At 39.2% G+C, this 21,386-nt stretch overlaps 1 long non-coding RNA gene and 1 other non-coding gene across 2 annotated transcripts in view, besides 1 other annotated feature; both read left to right on the plus strand.

The window, feature by feature from the left end:
- WARS2-AS1 (WARS2 antisense RNA 1) overlaps positions 1-18,115 on the plus strand; it is a 135,578-nt gene extending 117,463 nt beyond the window's left edge. Inside the window, exons 5-7 of the long non-coding RNA NR_125975.1 lie at positions 3,589-3,858; positions 5,044-5,086; positions 17,330-18,115. This is a non-coding gene — a long non-coding RNA (WARS2 antisense RNA 1). The remainder of the gene's footprint in view (positions 1-3,588; positions 3,859-5,043; positions 5,087-17,329) is intronic.
- On the plus strand, positions 1,183-1,283 carry LOC124904832 (small nucleolar RNA U13). The gene has a single exon (XR_007067428.1). It is a non-coding gene; the product is annotated as a small nucleolar RNA U13 (small nucleolar RNA).
- Positions 8,710-8,879: an enhancer, noted in NCBI's record as "active region_1591". NCBI's record gives its function as "activates an Ori minimal core promoter by ATAC-STARR-seq in GM12878 lymphoblastoid cells {active_cell/tissue: GM12878}" and the evidence as "EXISTENCE:reporter gene assay evidence [ECO:0000049][PMID:35858748]".
- Positions 18,116-21,386: the final 3,271 nt, after the last annotated feature.

Here is a 21,386-nt window from a genome sequence, read left to right on the forward strand (position 1 = left end):
AAAAGGAGCTCTCTAGGTAAAAAGGGAGGCAGCAGGAATTACAGAGATAGAAAATAGCAACTAAGCTGAAAAGAAAAAAAAAAAAAACATTGGCACAGAAATGAGAAAAACGCATGACAAGAAAGGAACTTAGGCTAGACAGGTAAAGGAGGCAAGGGACAAAGGTGAAGTTGTGAAGGATTCATACTGATGCAGTTTGGGTGTGTGTCCCTTCCATACCTCATGTTGAAGTGTAATCCCCCGGCCAGGCACAGTGGCTCACGCCTGTAATCCCAGCACTTTGGGAGGCCAAGGTGGGTGAATCACAAGGTCGGGAGATCGAGACCATCCTGGCTAACACGGTGAAACACTGTCTCTACGAAAAATATAAAACATTAGCCAGGCGTGGTGGCAGGCACCTGTAGTTCTAGCTACTCAGGAGGCTGAGGCAGGAGAATGGCGTGAACCCCGGAGGTGGAGCTTGCAGTGAGCCGATATTACGCCACTGCACTCCAGCCTGGGTGACAGAGTGAGCCTCTGTCTCAAAAAAAAAAAAAAAAGAAATGTAATCCCCAATGTTGGAGGTGGGGCCTGGTGAGAGGTATTGGATCATGGAGATGGATCCCTCATGAATGGCTTAACACCATCCCCTTGGTGATGAGTGAGTTCTCACTCAGTTCATTCAAGATCTAGTTGTTTAAAAGAGTCTGAGACCTCCCCATTTTCACTCTTGGTCCCTCTCTGGCTTGTGACATGCCAGGTCCCCCTTGGCCTTCCACCTTAAGTGGAAGCTTCTGGAGGTCCTCACCTGAAGCAGATGCTGGCAGCAAGCTTCCTGTATAGCCTACAGAACTGTGAGCCAAAATAAACCTCTTTTTTTTTTTTTTTTTTTTTTGAGATGGAGTCTTGCTCTGTCGCCCAGGCTGGAGTGCAGTGGCACAATCTTGGCTCACTGCAAGCTCCGCCTCCCGGGTTCACGCCATTCTCCTGTCTCAGCCTCCCCAGTAGCTGGGACTACAGGCGCCTGCCACTACACCCAGCTAATTTGTTGTATTTTTAGTAGAGACAGGGTTTCACTATGTTAGCCAGGATGGTCTCGATCTCCTGACCTTCTGACCTGCCCCCCTCAGCCTCCCAAAGTGCTGGGATTCCAGGCGTGAGCCACCACGCCCGGCCATAAACCTCTTTTCTTTATGTTACCCAATTCTTTTGTAGTTCAAGAGTGTGATGATTGGCTGTTCATGAGCATGTATGAGATATGCCACCCTTGAACCTTGTTACATCAGCACATTATCTGCCTTACCTAAACAAAAAAATAATTATCCAGTCTCAGATATTCCTTTAGAGTAACGCAAACAGACTAATATACACGCGAACCTTGAAAAGAACTTCAGACTTTTTCATCCACAAGCCACAGGGAGCTGCTGACGGTTTTACAGCAGAAGAGGTGTTATGAGAAAATCTATGTTTTAGGAAGATAGCTGTAGAGGCTGTGAAGAAGGATTGGAGTCTGGAGCCGGCCCTTTAGGAGCTGTTAAAACAGTCCTGGCAAGAGATATGATGAAACTAACTCAATCCAGGGTCATGAGATTGGAGACAACAGGAGAGATCTGAGAAATGATTACAAAGAAGGTAGAAGATAACATGATTTATTGGATTTCTATCTTGCCCCCCAGGCTCTGAGATAGGTACTTTATACACCTTATTTTATTTACTCTTTTACTCTTTACAACAACAACCCCATGAGGTAGGTGTGATGTGTCCCTTAAGAAATTGAACATCTGGGAGGCTAACTCACTCAAGATCACACAGGCATTAAATGTCAGAGCCAGGATTTGAACCAATGTCTGCTAGATGCCAAAGCCCATGTGCTTTCTCTCTACTCAGATAGTACCAAGAGGACTTGATGAGTGATTACATATTTTCTCCAATTAGGGTTCCATCGTTGCTCACTTTCCTAAATTTTGTAGAAAGCCATGTGTGTGCTCCAGCCTCTAGCAGCCCTGAGGAAGAATGCATTCCACTAGGTTACATTGTGCTAAGGGAAGGAGTACTTCTTACATTAAGCAGAGTGTTGAGGCCAAGGAGTGTTCAACCTATCTAGGTGTATATTTGTTTTCTACTGTGGCTATAACAAATTATTATAAGCAGTTATCATAAATTGATACACATGTATTACCTTACAGTTCCATTAGTAGTCTACCATGCATCTCACCGGGCTAAGACTGACGCATCAGCAGGGCAGAGTTCCTTTCAGAAGGCTTTAGGGGAGAATTCTCTTCTTGACTTTTAGAGCTTCTAGAGGACACTACTGTGGCTCATGGCCCCCTTCCTTCAGCAAGGGCAGGTCGAGTCCCTCTTACATCTCATCCTCTGACCATCTTTACTGCTTCCCTCTTCCCCTTTAAAGGAGACTTGTAATTACATTGGGCCCACCTAGATAATCCAGGCTGGTTTCTCTACTTTAAGGTCAGGCGATTAGCAACCTTAATTTTATCTGCAAATTTAATTCCCTTTTGCCAAGAAAGGTAACATGTTTACAGGTTCTGGAGATTAGGACATGGATACTTTGGAGGCCATTATTCTGCCCAACATGCAGTTCTGTATGATGATTTAGATTTGAATCTTGTATTGCTAGTTTTAGAAATTTACAAGAAGAGGGTCAGGGAAGAAGTGGTGAGTAAAGAGTTAACTAGCCATCCAACAAGCACAATGACCTCTTGACAATCTTGAGCGTGGTGTAGACTGTTGGGCCAAGAGCTGGGCCGTTGGGGTAGGCAGTTCACATCTTCGAAGAAATGCTCATCAAACCATGACCGGTGGAAACCAGGACACCAGTCACCTGGGAAACCAAGTAAACATAAACATACAGCCATCCATCACTGCCATCTGGAAGAAATTGGGTAGTGAGGGTCTTCCTGTTAGGCCTTACTTCAGTATTTATTTGTGTAGCTGGAGATCCCAGACCAGCCTTTCTGTCAGCGATGCTTCAGTGAGGAGCATGGGGCTGAATCTCAGCTTGGAATTAAAACATACCACCTTTCTGTGTGAATGTGGATGTAAATATTACCAGCAGACAGGTCACTCAAGAGATAGGTGCCCATATTTCCAAGTCTAAACAATCTCTGTAGGTCAAACAGGGAGGCCCCGTGTGCTTGTTGGCAACACCACCTTTAGCAGAAGTCTGAATTCCCAGTGAATGCTGCCTGTGTTCTGCTCTATCGAGGAACTATGGCCTCCAGAAGCGTTGCCCTACAAGCTCCATCCTAGTTAATGACTTCAGGCAGAAATGTGCAGGGAAAAGTTGGTTTCAGTTGGGTCCACTGTATGAGGTGATATGTAAGTTTTATGGGCTCTCCTCCCGGGATTCCTTGCTTTTGACTGAGAATGTGTTTTCAGTTGTTGCTCCAATCCATCGGTGGTGATAGATTTGCCCAGCTCCCTGCATATGTTCTCGCCCTGTTCCCCAAGTGATTCAAAGCATATTTACAAGACAGCTGGCTTGGGTTTACAGGGAGCAAGTCTGAGGCATGGATCAGAGCAGAGTGAAGTGACCCATACAGGGAACAAACTTATGACCTTGGCCTCCTAAGCACTATCTCCTTACAGATTCAGCTAATACAGCTCCCGAAAGCCTGCCCTTCATCTAAGTCCACATGCGACATTGAAACACTCAAAGGCAGCCTGGCAGCAGCAAGAAGAAAAACATTCAAACCAAGTTAGATTTCCTGGCATCATGTTGTTTGTTCTTAACCTGAAGATACATTTGGGGACCCCTAGTCTGGTGACACTGAATTAGAGTCAGTCAAACACTTTCTTGATGACCATGGAATACTGTGAGCTACAAGAGACTCTCCCATCCTCATCTATGGTTACAGTGTAAGCTCCTGAAGGGCTTGGCCTGTGTTGTACTCAGTCCTTGGCACAGAACAGATGTTTAAAGCATGTCAGTGAAATTAACTTTAAAAATGGATAAATTTGTGAGATAAATTCAATTTTTACATGTACCCTGACTTTACTTTGAAAAGCCAAATTCTAAAAAATTTTTATATTCCTTATCACTTATTTCACGGACAGCAAATACCCTAGGGTAATACTGCCCAATAGAAATGTAGCACAAGCCTCAAATACAAGCCACATACATACTTTTACATTTTTTAGTAGCCACATTAAAATAAGTAAAATTAAATAGATAAAATTAATTTTCATACTATATTTTATTTAACCCAATATATCAAAAATATTGTAATTTCACATGCATGTCACATAAACATTATCAATGAGCCATTTTTCATTTTTTTTATAACAACTCTAGCAGCCCATCTCAATTTGAACTAGCTTAATAGCCACATGGGGCTTACTGCTACTGTATTCAACAGCACAGCTCTGGAACCCTCTTCATTTTCCTTTCTCTCTTCCTTTTCATTTGTCTTTCCACTGCTTACGCCCTGTGCCCCTACTTGCTCCCCTCCTCTTCCCTCTTCTGTACTATCAGTTTCATTCAGAAATGCCCTCCCCATACCTCTGCCACCTCAATCGCACCCACCCTGCTAGGTGGGATCAGATACATCTGCTAGGACAGTCTCAAGACTGGTTAATATTATGATTAATTAACATCCAAATAGCCCTTAGTAAAGAATCCTTACTTTCATTGGCTCATTAATAATGGCATGTAATAAGTGCCATTATTTCCTCTTTATTGTTGAAGAAACAGGTTCAATTTCAAACTATTCAGTGGTAGAGCAAGGACTTGGAAGCAGGTGTTCTGGGTTCAGAGCTTCCCACCATGCCACACACATGCTGCCATTGCAGAAAGAAACCTCCACTCGGTGGCTTCCCTCACTCCCTTCTGACGGGAAAGAAAGAAAATTAAATAGCAGGTCCAGTAAATTATAACATGTGCTGTAATAGGATAGGTAGAGGGTTCTAGGAGAGCATTTGGAAAGGGCATTTAACCTATCTTGGGGGAAGTCACAGGAGATATGGGATTGCAGAGCAGAATGAAGTGACCCATACAGGGAATAAACCTATGACCTTGGCCTCCTAATCTCTCTCTCCTTACAGATTCAGCTTCTGATGGGGTTGCTTCTGAAAAGACCCCGGTGAGGTAAGTCATAGTTTTAATCAACTGCCATGTTATAGTTTATTTCAGGCAAGTGGTTTAGGCACTGTCACATTATAAATGTCATTACTAGCTAAGACTGGCCTGAGGCTCAGTGAGCCACAGACAGTTTGAGAATATCTGCCTAACTCTTTCCTAAGCCCATTATTGTAGAAGCTGCCCTGATTTTGGTGGGGACCTTCAGATCCTGAGAAGAAAAGGTAGACTTGTGGAAAAACACATTTCTCCTGTGCCATTTGCATGCAGCTCCCAACTTTCCATTATTATGCTCATTTTAGAGCTCCAAGCATCATGCCTGGACCCCTTAAGTCCTGCTTTCAGGAAGAGATTGAATTCATCTTTATTCTTTTCTTTCTGCTTTTTAAGCAGTAGCAGTATGGTAACACTTCTCAATTTTATTTCCAGCTATACCTATGGCCTCAATTTTCTTCCCAGCGATGTTCTCAGGTAGACTTAATTCTGGTTGTTTTGCAGCTTTAAGTTTTGCACAGTCTTGCTGGCCTACAGTGCCCCTTTGCTTGGAACTCTGATGCTGTGATTTTCCTCTTGAAATCCAAATCATCTTTGGAAAAGGCAACCAGTTTCTCACCCAAGCCATGTCCAAACAGGTCTGGTCCCCAGACCATATCTGGCATGAAAAGAGGCTCAGTGTAGCACACAATAGATGACTGTAGTCTAATTTTAGACCGGATGGTTGACCATGTCTCCTCCCTGTGATCCTATCTCTTACCTCTCAGACCAACTCCTTAGGGAGGGACCCTGACAAGCATCAAGAACATACAGAAATAAATACATGTCCTAAAACATAGAGATAATCCTGCTATTATCCTGATTAAGACATTTTTCACAGTTCAGTATACTCTACAAAATGAAGTCCAAACTCTTTAACCATGTAACAAAGCCCTTCATGTTTCCTCCCTCCCCAGCCTCCCCTTCTATCATACCTCATACCCTACACACCAAACATACAAATGTCCCTGTAGTTTCCTGAAAACACCAGGTGGTTCAGGCCTGCCATCTCCATACCTGAGCTGCCAGTTCTTTCACCCTCATTTCTGTGCACCTTGCCAACACATACTCACATACAGAATCTCACCTGGACCCCCCACCCTCAGCCAAAACTGATCGTTCCTTCTTTTGTGAATCCTGACACTGTCCACATCTTTAGCATAAAGCCTGTAACATGCTGCTGCATTTTTTATTTACAGAGTTAAATGAAAGGGACCTGGGGGCAAGGACTATTCCTGAGTTATCAACTCTCCTTTGCCTATCAAGATGTCTGTGCATAAATAAGCATTTTATTTACTGATAATCGAAAGGAAGAATAGATAAAGACGTAGAGTGATGCCCTACCATAGAGAAAGGGTTATATATATATATATATATATATATATATATATATACACACACACACACACATATGTGTATGTATATATATACACGTGTGTGTCAGGATTCACAAAAGAAGGAACGATCAGTTTTGGCTGAGGGTGGGGGGTCCAGGTGAGATTCTGTATGTGAGTATGTGTTGGCAAGGTGCACAGAGATGAGGGTGAAAGAACTGGCAGCTCAGGTATGGAGATGGCAGGCCTGAACCACCTGGTGTTTTCAGGAAACTACAGGGACATTTGTATGTTTGGTGTGTAGGGTATGAGGTATATATATACACATATGTGTGTGTATATATATACACATATGTGTGTGTATATATATACACATATGTGTGTGTATATATATACACATATGTGTGTGTATATATATACACATATGTGTATATATGTGTTTATGTGTATATGTGTATATATGTGTATATGTAAATGTATATATGTGTGTATATATACGTATATATGTATATGTATATGTGTATATATACACATATATATATACGTATCTGAGCATCTTTTATCAGATCAATCTACATAAAAGTATGTGTGTGTGTGTGTGTGTGTGTGTGTGTGTGTATATATATATATTTTTTTTTTTTTTTTGACAGAGTCTTGCTCTGTTGCCCAGGCTGGAGTGCAGTGGTGTGATCTTGGCTCACTGCAACCTTCACCTCCCAGATTCAAGCGATTCTTGTGCCTTAGCCTCCTGAGTAGCTGGGATTACAGGCCCCTACCACCACGCCCGGCTAATTTTTGTAATTTTTGTAGTGACGGGGTTTCACCATGTTGACCAGGCTCGTCTTGAACTTCTGACCTCGGGTGAGCCACCTGCCTCGACCTCCCAAAGTGCTGGGATTACAGGCGTGAGCCACTGCAGCTGGCTATATATATACAGTTGGCTGGGCGTGGTGGCTCACACCTGGAATCCCAGCAATTTGGGAGGCCAAGGCGGGCAGATCGCTTGAGCTCATGAGTTCAAGATCAGCTGGGGGAACATGGCAAAACCCTGTCTCTACAAAAAATACAATTAGCTGGGAGTGCTGACGTGCACCTGTAGTCTAGGGAGGCTGAGGTGGGAGGATCTCTTGAGCCCAGGAGGCAGAAGTTGCGATGAGACAAGATCATGCCACTGCACTCCAGCCTGGGCAACATAGTGAGACTCTGTCTCAAAAAAAAAAAAAAAAAAGACAGGGTTTTTCTATGTTTCCCAGGCTGGACTGGACTTGAACTCCTAAGCTCAAGTGATCCTCCTGCTTCAACCTCCCAAGAGAAAGGATTTTACTCCACTTGTCCCTCACTTAGCTAGCTCTTTTATCTAGGAGATTTTTTTAAAATCTAAGCATGATCAAAGTTCTGGGACTTTTTGATGGCCTGGAAGATAAAAGGAACCAGGACATCCTGGAAGAGAAAAGCAAGTTGCTGATAGTGTAGCATTTCCACTGGGCTTAAGGAAAAAGTATTAAAGAGACCCTCATATATCTTTTTAGGTTTTCCAGCTTAGCTCAGTAGGATAGGAAAGGAAGGAGGATTCAGGGCAAAAATCTTTATGTAAAATAAATTTTTATCTGACGTAAGTATTCCCTGCACTGTCACATATGAAAGCATGATGTACAAAGTGTAATAAAGTGAGGACTCAAACTTTTGCCCTGTTAAAAGCCAGGAAGGGTATGGGATTCCTGGTTTATTGTTTGATACCTACAATTTCAAGCAGACTCAAGAAAATGCTACAGGATCTGAAATTATTGGGGTGATTTATCTCAGACTTATAGGATCTGTGAAAGATTTTCCTCACAATCTTGTTCTTTATAAATGGATTATACTTCATATGGAAAAGAGTTGATAATTTTGGAGTCTTAGTGGTAGTGGTTTAAAAATAAAAAGCAATGGAGATTTCATCTCCAGTAAGATCTGAGCATCTTTTATCAGATCAATCTACATAAAAAATTATATACACACACAGAGGACAAAATATATTTTTAAAAACAGTATCTGAAGACACTGGAGAGTGATTAAAAGCAGGAAGATGCTGGAAGAAGCCAATATATGAAAGAAGAAAATGGCATTGATGAGTTTTTAGATTTTACAGCTTTTAGGCCAAGGCAGGTTCTAGCCTGCACTATGTAGAATGGCTAAAGCTCCATATAAACCCCACATATTACTGGCTAGAAGAACCAGAGTATGGGGCAACCACAGCACAAAGAAAATTAAGAGGAAATCCCCAAAAGAATAGAGACTAAAGGGGGATCCCCATCTGCCCACATCTCTTACTGACCTTTGAGCTGCTCTCATATGGGACAGATGCCAAGCCATCGAGTGAAGTTTAGAGTTTGACTGTGATTTGAACTGCTGCTCTGAACAAAGGAGATATTAAAAGGATAACAAAAAAATTATAAACAATTTTACACCAAAAATTTGACAACTTATATGAAATGGATAAAGTCTTTGAAAGATGCAAATTAGCAAAACTTACTCAAGATAAGCTACACAGTCTTACATTTACTTTAAAATTTGAATTTATAGTTTAAAACCATCCCTCAAAACAACTCCAGATGCTTCACTGGTGAACGCTAGCATACATTTAAGGAAAATATTACACCAATTCTACAAAAGAGAAAAAAAAAAAGACAGAACGGGAAGAAAAGCAACTAAAACCTAAGTTTCTATGTAGATTCTACATAGGTGATGTCATCTGTGAATAGAGGCAGTTTTGTTTATCCCTTTGCAATCTGTATGCCTTTTATTACTTTTTCTTGCCTTACTGCACTGACAAGGACTTTCAGTACGATGTTGAACTGAAGTAATAGGAGTGAACATATTTACCTTTTTTTCTGATATTAGGGGGAAAGTACCCAGTCTTTCATCATTAGTTATGATATTAACTATAGGTTTTTCAAAGATGCCCTTTATGAGGTTAAGGAAGTCTCAACCTGTAATCCTAGTTTGCTTAGAGTTTTCATGAATAGTTGTTGAATTTTGTCAAACCATCCTTCTGCATCTTGTGAGAGGATGGTATGGCTTTTCTCGTTTAGTTTGGCTGATATGGTAAATCCTATTGATTTACTTTCTTTTTGTTTTGTTTTGTTTTTGTTTTTGTTTTGAGACAGTGTCTTGCTCTGTTGCCCAGGCTGGAGTGCCGTGGCGTGATCTCAGCTCACTGAAACCTCTGTCTCCTGGGTTCAAGAGATTTGTGTCTCAGCCTCCTGAGTAGCTGCGACCACAGGCACATACCATCATGCCCAGCTACTTTTTGTGTTTTAGTAGAGACAGGGTTTCACCATTTTGTTCAGGCTGGTCTTGAACTCCTGACCTCAAGTGATCTGCCAGCCTTGGCCTCCCAAAGTGCTGGGATTACAGGTGTGAGCCAACATGCCCAGCCCTATAGATTTACTTTCAAAAGTTGAACAATATTGCATTTCAAGGAAAATTTCCACTTGGTCATGATAGATCATTATTTTAATATCTTACACAATTTGGTTTGCTAATATTTTGTTGGTGTTTTGTATCTATATTCATGAGGATATTTGTTTGTAGTTCTATTTTCTTATAATGTCTGATTTTGGTGTGAGGTTAATGCTGGCCTCAAAAAATGAGTTGAGGGCCAGGTGCAGTGGCTCATGCCTGTAATCCCAGCACTTTGGGAGGCTGAGGCGGGCGGACCACTTGTGGTCAGGAGTTCGAGACCAGCCTGGCCAACATAGTGAAACCCTGTCTCTACTAAAAATACAAAAATTAGCCCAGCATGGTGGTGCATGCCTGTAATCCCAGTTACTCGGGAGGGTGAGGCAGGAGAATCGCTTGAGCCTGGGAGACAAAGGTTGCAGTGAGCCTAGATCACATCACTGCACTCCAGCCTGGGCTACAGAGTGAGACTCTGCCACACACACACACACACACAAGAGTTGAGAAAGAGATAAAGATCAGTACAGAATCCACACATAGAGAATCCAGACATAGGTAATCCACCATAGGCAATTCAATGCTGAAAGGATAGTCTTTTCATCAAATAATACTGGAACAGTTGGACATTTATATGCAAAAAATGTATCTTGACCCATGCATTAAACTATATGCAAAAATTAACTGAAAATTGATTAGAGGCCTAAATGTAAAACTCAAGTGTAAAAATTCTGGAAGAAAATATAGGAGAAAATCTTTGTGACTCTGGGCTAGGTGAGATTTATTAGGTAGAATACAAAAGGCACATTCCATAAATGAAAAAAAATAGATAAATGAGACTTTATTAAAATTTAAAAGCCACCCATATTTAAATAACAGTTTTAGGAAAATGTCATTCAAATATAGACATAAGTTTGGGGAAAATATTTTTAAAACACATATCTGGAAAAGGACTGATACCCAGAATACATGAAGAACCCTCACAACTCAATAATAAGAAAACAACAATCCAATTTCTTTTTCTTTTTCTTTTGTTTTTCGAAAGGAGAAAACAACAATCCAATTTAAAAACTGGGCAAAGCATTTGAACAAATGCCTCATCAAAGACAATACACAGACAGCAAAAATGCACATGAAATGGTGTCCAGCAACACTAATGATAGAGAATTGCAGATTAAAACAAGACACCAGCTGTTAGAAAAGCTGCTGAGAAGAATGAAGAGCAACTGGAACTCTCATACATTGCTGATGGGAATGTGAATAGCACAGCCACTTTGAAAAACAGTTTGGCTGTTTTTTATAAAATTAAAATGCAATTACTATATGACTCAGCAATTCCACTCCTGGATATATGCCTGATAAGTGAAAATATATGTTCACACAAAGACACATCCACAGATGTTTATAGTGGCCTTATTCATATTACTACAAACTGGAAATATTTCAAGTGTCCGTCAAGTAGTAATTGTATTAACAAAATGTGGTGGTACATCCATACAATGGAATATTACTCACCAATAAAATAGAATCAAACTATTGGCAACAACATGAATAAATCTCAAATGCACTATAATAAATGGAAAAAAAACAGACTCAATAAGCTACATACTGCACAATTACATTTATAAGACATTCTGGAAAAGGCAAACATGGGGCAGAAAAAACTAAGTGGTTGTTTGTGGGCTGGGAATTTAGGAAAGAATTTGACAACAAAAGTGCATGAGGAAATTTTTGGGTTAAGATACATGTTCTTTATCTTGATGGTGGCGGTGGACACTGAACTGTGTATGTTTTTCAAAATTCATTGCATTTACAAAGGGTAGATTTTGCTGTACACAAACTGTTTCTCAACAAACCTGACTTTAAAACAAAGAAAAGAATGTCAAAGTAAAGTAGTTTTTTTCATTAGAATGAAGAAGACACAGATCTAACCTCACTTTTCCTATTTTTACCTCACCCTTTGATGGAAAACAGAAATGGTGAAATTGATATTTGTTGAATGGAAGAGAAAACATGGGGTTATATTAAGTGTAGAAAAGTAAGTATAAATTTCAAATAATGAATTAAGGATGCATTGTGATAACTGAATTATAGGCTGTGACAAGGAAAATGAACAAAGGATACATGAGAAGCATACAAAAACTTTCTCTTGTTGAGTATCAAGTGAAATTTACTTCCCAGATGAGGTTACCATGGATCACATTAAGAATTAAAATTCACAGAACTAGCCTTTTAAATTTTTTATTTGATTTTAAATCAACATCTTTTTGAAATTTTTTCTTTTGGCTACAGAACCTGAATCTAGATGTCATAAGAAGGCTACTTTTTAGGCAGTATACGCTAGTTCATTTATAATTGAATTAGAGTGCCACTTTCAAAAGCATATTTTATTAGTAAAAAAAAAAAAAATAAGCAAAAGGCTGAGGCAATTTTTAGGATATATAACTTATGAAGAGAGGTAATTCAAATATATTTTAACTTATAGATGATAATATTTGGAAAAAATAGAAATTCTTAAGTATGTAAACATTTTATATTTTGAAAACTATTTTAATTTAAAAAATTCTTGTCATTTAAGTTTTATAAAGTTGAAATCAAATGAATAATATAAGAAAATATAAGAAAATGTCACACAGGTACTATTTAAATAGTATATATATATGTCATACAGAATATTTTTAAGAGTATTGTTGGATTTAAATTTGGACCATGCCCTGCAATTTTCTCTAGTTTCTTCCTCAGTTTTATATAAATTCAAAATACTTAATCTACAAAAGTATATAATGTGAGATATTATAAACAGCTTTATGCCAAAAAATTTGAACTTTTAGATGAGTCAAATTTCTCAAACAACACAATTTACTAAAGCTGGGGAAAAATATAAGACATCTGAATAGTCTTATACCTAATAAAGAAGTGTAATCCATAATTCAAAGCCTTTCACTACATTCCACTTCCATTAATTTTGTAGTAGCTTGTATTAGATAAACCTTTCTGTAGAAAACAATTATTCTTGAGGGAAATAAAAAAATACTTGAAGGCACTGGATAGTGGCCAAAAGCAGACAGAAATTGGAGAGGAATTCATCCCTTCAATATAGCATTTTTTATGGAGATTTGCCTTGATATGCCTTTTGTCTGAAGGCACTCTGCAGTCTGTACAATATAGGGCTACAAGAATTCAAGAAGAGAACATTATTCTTAGCAGTTCAAGGAATCATTAAATGGAGTTAGGGTTAACAGAACAGAGAGTGAGGTGTCAGGAAGGCGGGAGCCTAAGAGAGAACCCCAAAATGTGCACATAAACTCTGCCCAAACATCTGGATGATCCCTAAACTATGTATGTATGAGGAAGACTCTGAGGAGCCCAGTGAAAAGCAACAGGTGAAAGTCTGAAAGAACTTACTAGAGATTTCAGCTACTTCCTCTCATATGGGAGGGAGTTTGGGGTTTGAGTCCACCCAAGTTAATTGCCTGAGAGAAAAAATAATCAACATTTTTCAGAGGGTGATAACAGTATCCAATCACTACAATGTTCCCTCCAAAATGTCTGGCATACTATAAAAGAGTATTACACACACACACAGTGACAAGAAAATACAATCAAAAGAAATAGCAGTCAATAGAAACATACTCTGACATGACCCAGATTCTGGGGTTAACAAAGACTTTAAAGCAGCTATATAAATGTTTTCAAAGATTTTTTTAAAAACATGATTATAATTAATGAAGAGATGTGGAATTTCAGCAAAGAAATAGAAGTTATTAAAAAGTGCCAAATAGAAATTCTGGAGCTGAAAAGATAAAAGGCATCTACCAAAAATCTACTATAAATATTATACTAAATGGTGAAATATAATTTTCCTCCCAAAATTAAAAATAAGACAAGAATCTCTGGTTTCATTACTTCTAATTAACATGATACTAGAGGTTAAAATTGTAATGGTACAATAAGGAAAAGAAAAGAAATAAAGCATATAAGGATTGGGAAGAAAGAAGTAAAATGTATTATTTACACAGAACACAATTTTGTACCTAGAAAATCCAAAGGAATTTATAGATAAACTTCCAAAGTTAATAAGTCAATTTAGTAAACTCACTGGATTCAAGGACAATTAATAAAAATCAAGTAAGGGTATAGTAGCAACGAACAAGTAGAAAATGAAATTTAAAGAAAATACAGTGGAATAAAAGAACATCAAATATCTAGGCATAAATATAATGAAAAATATGTATTACCTTACACAGAAAACTATAAAACAATATTAGAGAAATTAAAGAAGAGCTAAAATGGAGATCCATAGATTGGAAGACTCAATAGTGCAAAAATATTAAGTCTCCTCAAATTGATCTATACATTCAATGCAATCTCAATTAAAATTCCAACAGATGTTCTTTTTAAAAGTAGATAAATTTGTGTGGAATTACATATAGAAATGTACAATGATAGCAATAGGTAAGAGAATCTTTAAGAAGATTAGAGTTTGAACACTTATCCTATTATATACAATAATTATTATCAAATAATTAATACAATGCAAATAGAGGCACAAAAATAGACAAATAGACCAATGGAACACAATAGAAAGTCTAGAATCAGACCCACACGTATATGGACACCATTGGTCCATGCAGAGCAGTGGGAAAAAGACACTATTTTAATTAATGGTCAATTGGATATCCATATGAGAAAAAACAATCTTGACTCCTGTCCATACGTTATGTAAAGAACCAATTCCAGGGCCAGGCGCAGTGGCTCGCCCCTGTAATCCTAGCACTTTGGGAGGCCAAGGTGGGCAGATCACCTGAGCTCAGGAGTTCAAGACCAGCCTGGGCAAGATGGTGAAACCCCGTCTCTACTAAAAAATACAAAAAAAAACTAGCCAGGCATGGCAGTGTGCACCTGTATTCCCAGCTACTTGGGAGACTGAGGCAGGAGAACTGCTTGAACCCAGGAGGCAGAGGTTGCAGTGAGTCAAAATTGTGTCACTGCACTCCATGCACTCCAGCCTGGGCGACAGGGTGAGATTCCGTCTCTTAAAAAAAATAAAAGAAAAAGAAAAAAAATCATTTCCAGGTGATTTTAGATCAAAAAATGATATGTAAAATAGTAAAGTTTCTAAAAAATAACATAGAATGATATTTTGTATGCCTGGAGCAGGCAAGGATTTCTTAAATAAGAAATAACATTCCTAAAAAAAATTAAAATATTGGCATTTTCTGTTTATAAAAGACACCATTATGAGAAGGAAAAGAAAGTTATAGAATGGAAGAAAATGTATGTATAAAAATATTATATATAAAATGACATTTCATATAAATTTTTCACAATTTAAAAAGTCAGAAAACCTAGTAAAAATTGGATGCTATTTTCTTCACAAAACAGAATATCCACATTGCCAATAAGCATTTTTTTAAAGTGCTCAACCTCATTAGCTATCAGGAAAAAGCAAATTAAAATTACAGTGAAATATATGGTATATCAACAACGTGGCTAACATTTAAAAGACTGAAAATACCAGGTATTTGTGAAGCTATAGAGTAATGGAACACACATACGTTACTATTGGGAGTGTAAATTGGTGCAATCACCACGTTGAGAAACTGTTAGTATATACTGAAGTTGAACATATGCCCACCCTATGACCCACTAGTTCTATTCCTAGATATATGCCCAGAAGAAATGCATACAAGTGTTTACTAAAAGCCAAACATAAGAATGTCCATAACAGCATTATTTAAAATAGCCAAATTAAAAACAATTCAAATGTCCTCAGACAATAGAATGGAGAGATAAACTGTGATATATCCATGAAATGGCAAATTAATTAAAATGAAGACACTGCTGCCACGTACAACAACATGGATGATTATCACAAGTGTAAAGTTGAGCAAAAGAAGCTAGACATCAAATAATACACACTTTATAGAAAACTCAAAAGCAGGTGAAACTAATGTATGGTATTAGCAGTCAGCAGAGTGGGCATCTTTTGGAAGGAGAGTGGAGACAGTGGTTGGAAAGGTGCCCAAGAAGGGCTTCTCAGATGCTGACAGGGTTCTGTAGGTGAGTGATCTGGGTGGTGCTTGCATGGGTTATTTTGTGCTACATGCATATTTTCTGTATGTGTGTTTTGATTCTATAAAAGGTGTATTAAAAAAGGTTATGGAGACAGAAAGGACATAGATGAAAGAACAGGAGGCAAGGCAAATCATCTGAATTTATACATTCTTTGGCATCAATTGTAAAATGCTACAGAAATTTAGAGAAGGGAGAAATCACTGAACTATATTGGTCAGAAAGTGTTTTCTTGAACTTGGTAAAATTGATTTGGGTGTGGAATAATGGCAGGATTTGGACAGGATGAGAGGGTAAGATGGGGACACAGGGACAGTCTTGGAGAGGGTGGGGCCAAGCATATTCCACTCACTGTGATTGACAAAGAGGGGACTTGGTTGGAGGAAAGATTCCCTTTGGAGAGTGAAAAACAGTCCTCATCATATTGCTTGAGCTTTATATGGCACATTATAGTTTACAAACCTTTCTTGTGCTCTCTGTTATTTGATTATAACAATAACTCCATTTATTGCTGATACAGACTCAAGTTTAGGAAGATTAAAGTCATTTGCTTAGAGCTACTTGACAGCTGGGGCTATTTTCCTGGTCTAAGGAACTGCTGAACTGGATCCAATCCTAGTTCCATCCAATCTTAGATCCTAATAGTCATAAAATTCTGAAAGAATGTGTCAGGAGATGATATATCAGGAAATGTAGAGAGTGACCTGTTGGCACAGAAATGTCTTGTAAATACATTTGTCAATTCAATATTTTCTTCCACTGAGTAAAGAAAGGTCTGTTTTCCACGTTAGAACACATATTGAGGTATCCCTAAATCTTAAACAACTTTTCATGATAAACAGCCCTAATGAAATTCCTGGGAAGCTTCTAAGATAGGAGGATTTTTCATTCAGCTTCCTGTGTCCCATTCTTGGGCTTGCAGGCAACCGTAGCCAAGAGCTATGGTCTCTCTTGAGATGGTAGAAAGCTGCCTTGTCACATTAGGCTGCAAAAGTCGTCCTGTTTCCTCCTTTCTCTAAAAGAAGAATGAAGTTCACCTCTGGTGGCTTTATCTTTCCAGGAAAAGGAAACTCAGGTCTAAAGCCATCCATTTACAGATGAGGACACAATTATAAACTGGGACACTTGATGGCTTTCAGCTCACAGCTCTTGTGGCTTAGGTCTCTGGGTGCCAGGTTCCAGACCTGGACCTGCCACAGAAGTATCGGCTGATCTTGGAAAAATCATGAAACCTGTTTGTTTCTAATATCTCCTTGGGATACATTTGGTAAACAGTGCTTTGGCTGAAAAGAGTGGATGCTGGCATGAGGAAAATGGAGATCTTAACAAATGTGTAGAATGTTAATTCTTCCATGTCTTTCTCTTCCTTTAGGTGTTTTTCAGCCCTAGCTATACATTGGAATCAACTGGCAAACTTTGAAAAAATCACAAAGCCTATGCCACAACCCAGAGGTTCTGAGGTGCAGCCAGAGTATAGAACCTGTAATCTAGGTAATGGCTCTCACTGGAAAACAGCTGTGGCACTGGTATAGGAGCAATGAGGGGCTCACGCAGAACTCCCTGTGTGGGCTCACCTGGCCTTCCAAAGGCCCAGCCTGACCACTTGGGACCAAAGTGACCCTTACTATTAAAGGCTTCTAACATTCACAGAAAGAAAGTACGTCAAGGGTGTGTGAAATCATGACAGAAGCTCCTCCTCCTAGGAACTATCACAGGAAATTACCCTTTATACCTAAGAATAAAGACCGAATAGAGAGAAGCCAGCTCTATCCACAACCAACAGATGGCGCTATTGTCCAATGCCCTGCCATTTAGGTCTCTGCCAACCACTTACTCCTTAATACTTGGTAATTTGCTGCATTTGTGCATGATTTTGAAATGTTCTAGAAACATTTTTGACTCCACATATCTGAGAAGTGCAAAAGTAGCAATAATATTAAAAGTGTTACTTAAAAAAGGAGCATAATTATGACAAAATGAAAGTAGAACCATTTTTAAAATCAGAAGGCAGTGAGAAAATAAAATGTAAGTTTGTACATGCATGTGGAATTAATTTTTAGACAGTAGGAACAATTCCAAAGGGCAGAGTTGATCATGAATCCTGAGAAAAGTGTTGTGCCTCTGCAACTGACAATAAAGAGCAAGAGATACGGAAATGAATGAAATGGAAAAGTTTATAGTGTGCGGCTAGATAATTACAATGCCTGATATGTGCTTTATCTTCACCATAAACTATGCAAGTGCTCTCCTTTCTTTCATCATCACCCAGCCAGCCAAAATCAACCACTGTCAATTAGACTGTTTTTAACTTTGGAGAAGGCTGGGGGTTGTTCTAGAATTTGGAACTAAGCATGGTAAAAGCTCTGCTACTTAACTTCTGGAGTAAGTCAGGGACTAGTTCTGTAATCTGAAAGACAATCTATACTCTCAAATCTACGCTACTTCAAGGTGGCAAGGCAGCCCAGTCTGACACTAACCATAACTTCTAAGGAGGTCTATTCTCTACCACACCTGCAGAAATGGCTGGGGAGAAGGGTTAAATTAATGAACTTAAAACATCTTTGGCAAGTGACGCTATTTCTTGGAGAAAAAAAAAGAAAAATAAGACATTTAACTGGTCCATGTTAGGAAAAGATGCTTGGTAGAATGTATCAGCAGGAATAAGAGTATGTCTGATTTAAAGCTCTGAAAGTTTGACATTCTGTTATTTACTGAAAGTACACTGGGAAACTGCAAGCTCAGCCTCTCTAAGACACTTTGAATTTATAGTGTATCAGTCAGGATCCAATTAGAGAAGTAGAATGAATAGGACATAAATATTAAGAGATTTATTACAAAGAATTGGCTTATGTGATTGTGGGGGATGGCTAGGCAAGTCTGAAGTCTGTAGGGCAGGCACTCAGGAGGGCAGACTGGAACTGTCAGGCACAGGTGGAAGCTGCCATCTGCAGGTGGAATTTCTTCCTCTTCAGGGAAGCCTCAGCTCTGCTATTAAGGCCTTTCAGCTGATTAAATTGGGCTCACCTGGATTATCTAGGATACGCTCCCTTTGTTAAAGTCTACTAATTATAGTCTTAAATTACATTTAAAAATTCCATTCACAATAACACCTAGATTTGTATTTGATTCTGTAACCAGAGACTGTAGTCTATCCAAGTTGACACAACAAAAAGACAATCACAGGCTAGATGCGGTGGCTCATACCTGTAATCCTACAGTTTGGGAAGCAGAGGCAGGAGGATGGCTTGAGGCCAGGCATTCAAGACCAGCCTGGGCAACAAAATGAGACCCCATTTCTACAAAAAATTAAAAAAAAAAAAACTTAGCTGAGTATGGTGGCATGTGCCTGTAGTTGCAGCTACTTGGGAAGCTGAGGCAGTAGGATTGCTTGAGCCCTGGAGTTCAAGGCTGCCGTGAGCTGTGATCACTGCACTCCAGCTGCCTAGGTAACAGAGTAAGACACTCTTTCTAAAAAAAAAAAAAAAAGAAGAAAATTAAGACCATCATAAATAGTGTTTGGAAATAAGACTGTTTCTGAGTAGAAGCGCTTCTAGATTAAAAAAAAAAAAAAAATCCCGTATGCCCTAGGAACTGGATTCTTTATATAGAAACCACAGATGTCATGGTCTGGGGGATCTGGTGATATTCTTATGTACATAAACCCATTCATTTATTTAGTTATTCAACAAATTTCATTGCATACTTACTATTTGCTAGTCTCTGTAGTAAGTGCTGACACTATAGGAACATGATCCTTACCCTCGAAGGCCCACAGACTAGTAGGAGAGACAGAGACACTCTGAGTTCCAATACCTTGTGACAAATGGTAGTTCAGTTGAGCCTCTAAACCTAGTTGTGAAATTAAGGAAGAGGCACTTAAACAGAATCTAGACTTAAGCCCAGGGGGATGCAGCATTTAGAGATGGAGAGAAGGGGTGGAAGAAGAGTCATCATAGTGATAATCCCAGCCCCAGACCATGCTGACCCCCACAGAGCTGGTGCTCAAGTGGTCAAACATATTGTAAAGGGCCAACTCAGGGAAGACTCTCCTAGGTCACTCCTACTTTATGTGTTTTTCAGCCTTCCTGTTAATGGTATGTCCACAGCACCTTCAGCCTAGCCTCTAGGTCTTCATGGAGGTGCTGCTTCAGCCAGAGGTGAGTTTGCTGCCAAAACTGAGAACCTGCACCTGCTCCAGGTGCTCAGAGCAATGGCTTTCTCTTCCCATCTCAGCTTGGCCAGTTCATCTGCTTCCCTTCAGAACATCTACCCCCTTTACCCATGTTTTTCCTCCCTTGATGTTTTTCCTCCCTTGACTTCCTTTCAAGTAATCAGGCATGTGCACTGGTCATCTGCACTATTCGTTAGCCTAGGAATCTATTCTTTTTCAAAATGGATTAAGCAATGTCTTCCCTACCTCCATCTCAGGACAGTGAGGGTAAATGAAGCCCACTGTGAAGCTCCTTAGAACTGGTACTGCCACACAAAAGTAAAGTACAGGTTGGGTATTGCCATCATCTGTCTGTCTCTATATCTATCCATCCATCCATGCTGTCTAATCACTCCTAAGCTGTGTGTCACAGAAGGATAGAAAACATTGTTGAATCTATAATACCTAGTACAGTTTCTACAGCTTCTGCACAAAGCAATTGTTCATTAATTTTCTAGTGAAGACAATGATAATGAGACCATCTGAGGGTTTGGGAGACAGATCATTGCAAACAGCTACACCACTGATACTAGAATTCCTAGAATGTCCCATCTCCTACCTCTGGCTAATTGCTTCTTTGAGACTCAGTTTAACACACCATCTTTGCTAAGAAAGCCTTCTGTCCTCAGTACCTTAGTACCAGTACTCATGTCTGAGTTGAGTACCTTCTCCTGCTACCATAGAATCCTCTGCACACTTTGGTCATTTCTCTTACTGTGGTGGACTTTGTCTCTTGACATGAAGGGAAGGTCTATGAAATGAGGGATTATGTTCTAATAATATTTATCAGCATGGCTCAATTCCTGGCACAATGCAAGAATGCCATAAATAATAAATTAGTAGTATGATGTGTATTCCCTTGATTTTTGTCTGAATATTAGCCTCATGCCATATAGACTGTTGTGTAGAGGAAATATTACTTAGATAGGTGCTTAAAGATTTCTTTTGTGGCCTTGTCAAATGGGTAGAAAAAATGAAGTCAGGAGGTCTGGGTTGAGTTTTTGACCCTACATTTTCTTAGAGAAGATATGATTCCAAGCATTGTGCTTCTTTGAAGCTTCTCTTGAGCAGATGTTGTGGGTTTTACTCAGACTGTGTCCCTCACAGGGGCTGGAGACCTAGGAGGTTAGCTTCAAACAGCGACAGCAAAATGCACCAACACCCAAGGAACTTCTAAAGGGTTACTGGTGGAATAATATTATCCTTCCATTTGTGTTAG

The sequence above is a fragment of the Homo sapiens genome, chromosome 1 (genome assembly GCF_000001405.40).
Source record: "Homo sapiens chromosome 1, GRCh38.p14 Primary Assembly".
Classification (NCBI taxonomy): domain Eukaryota; kingdom Metazoa; phylum Chordata; class Mammalia; order Primates; family Hominidae; genus Homo; species Homo sapiens.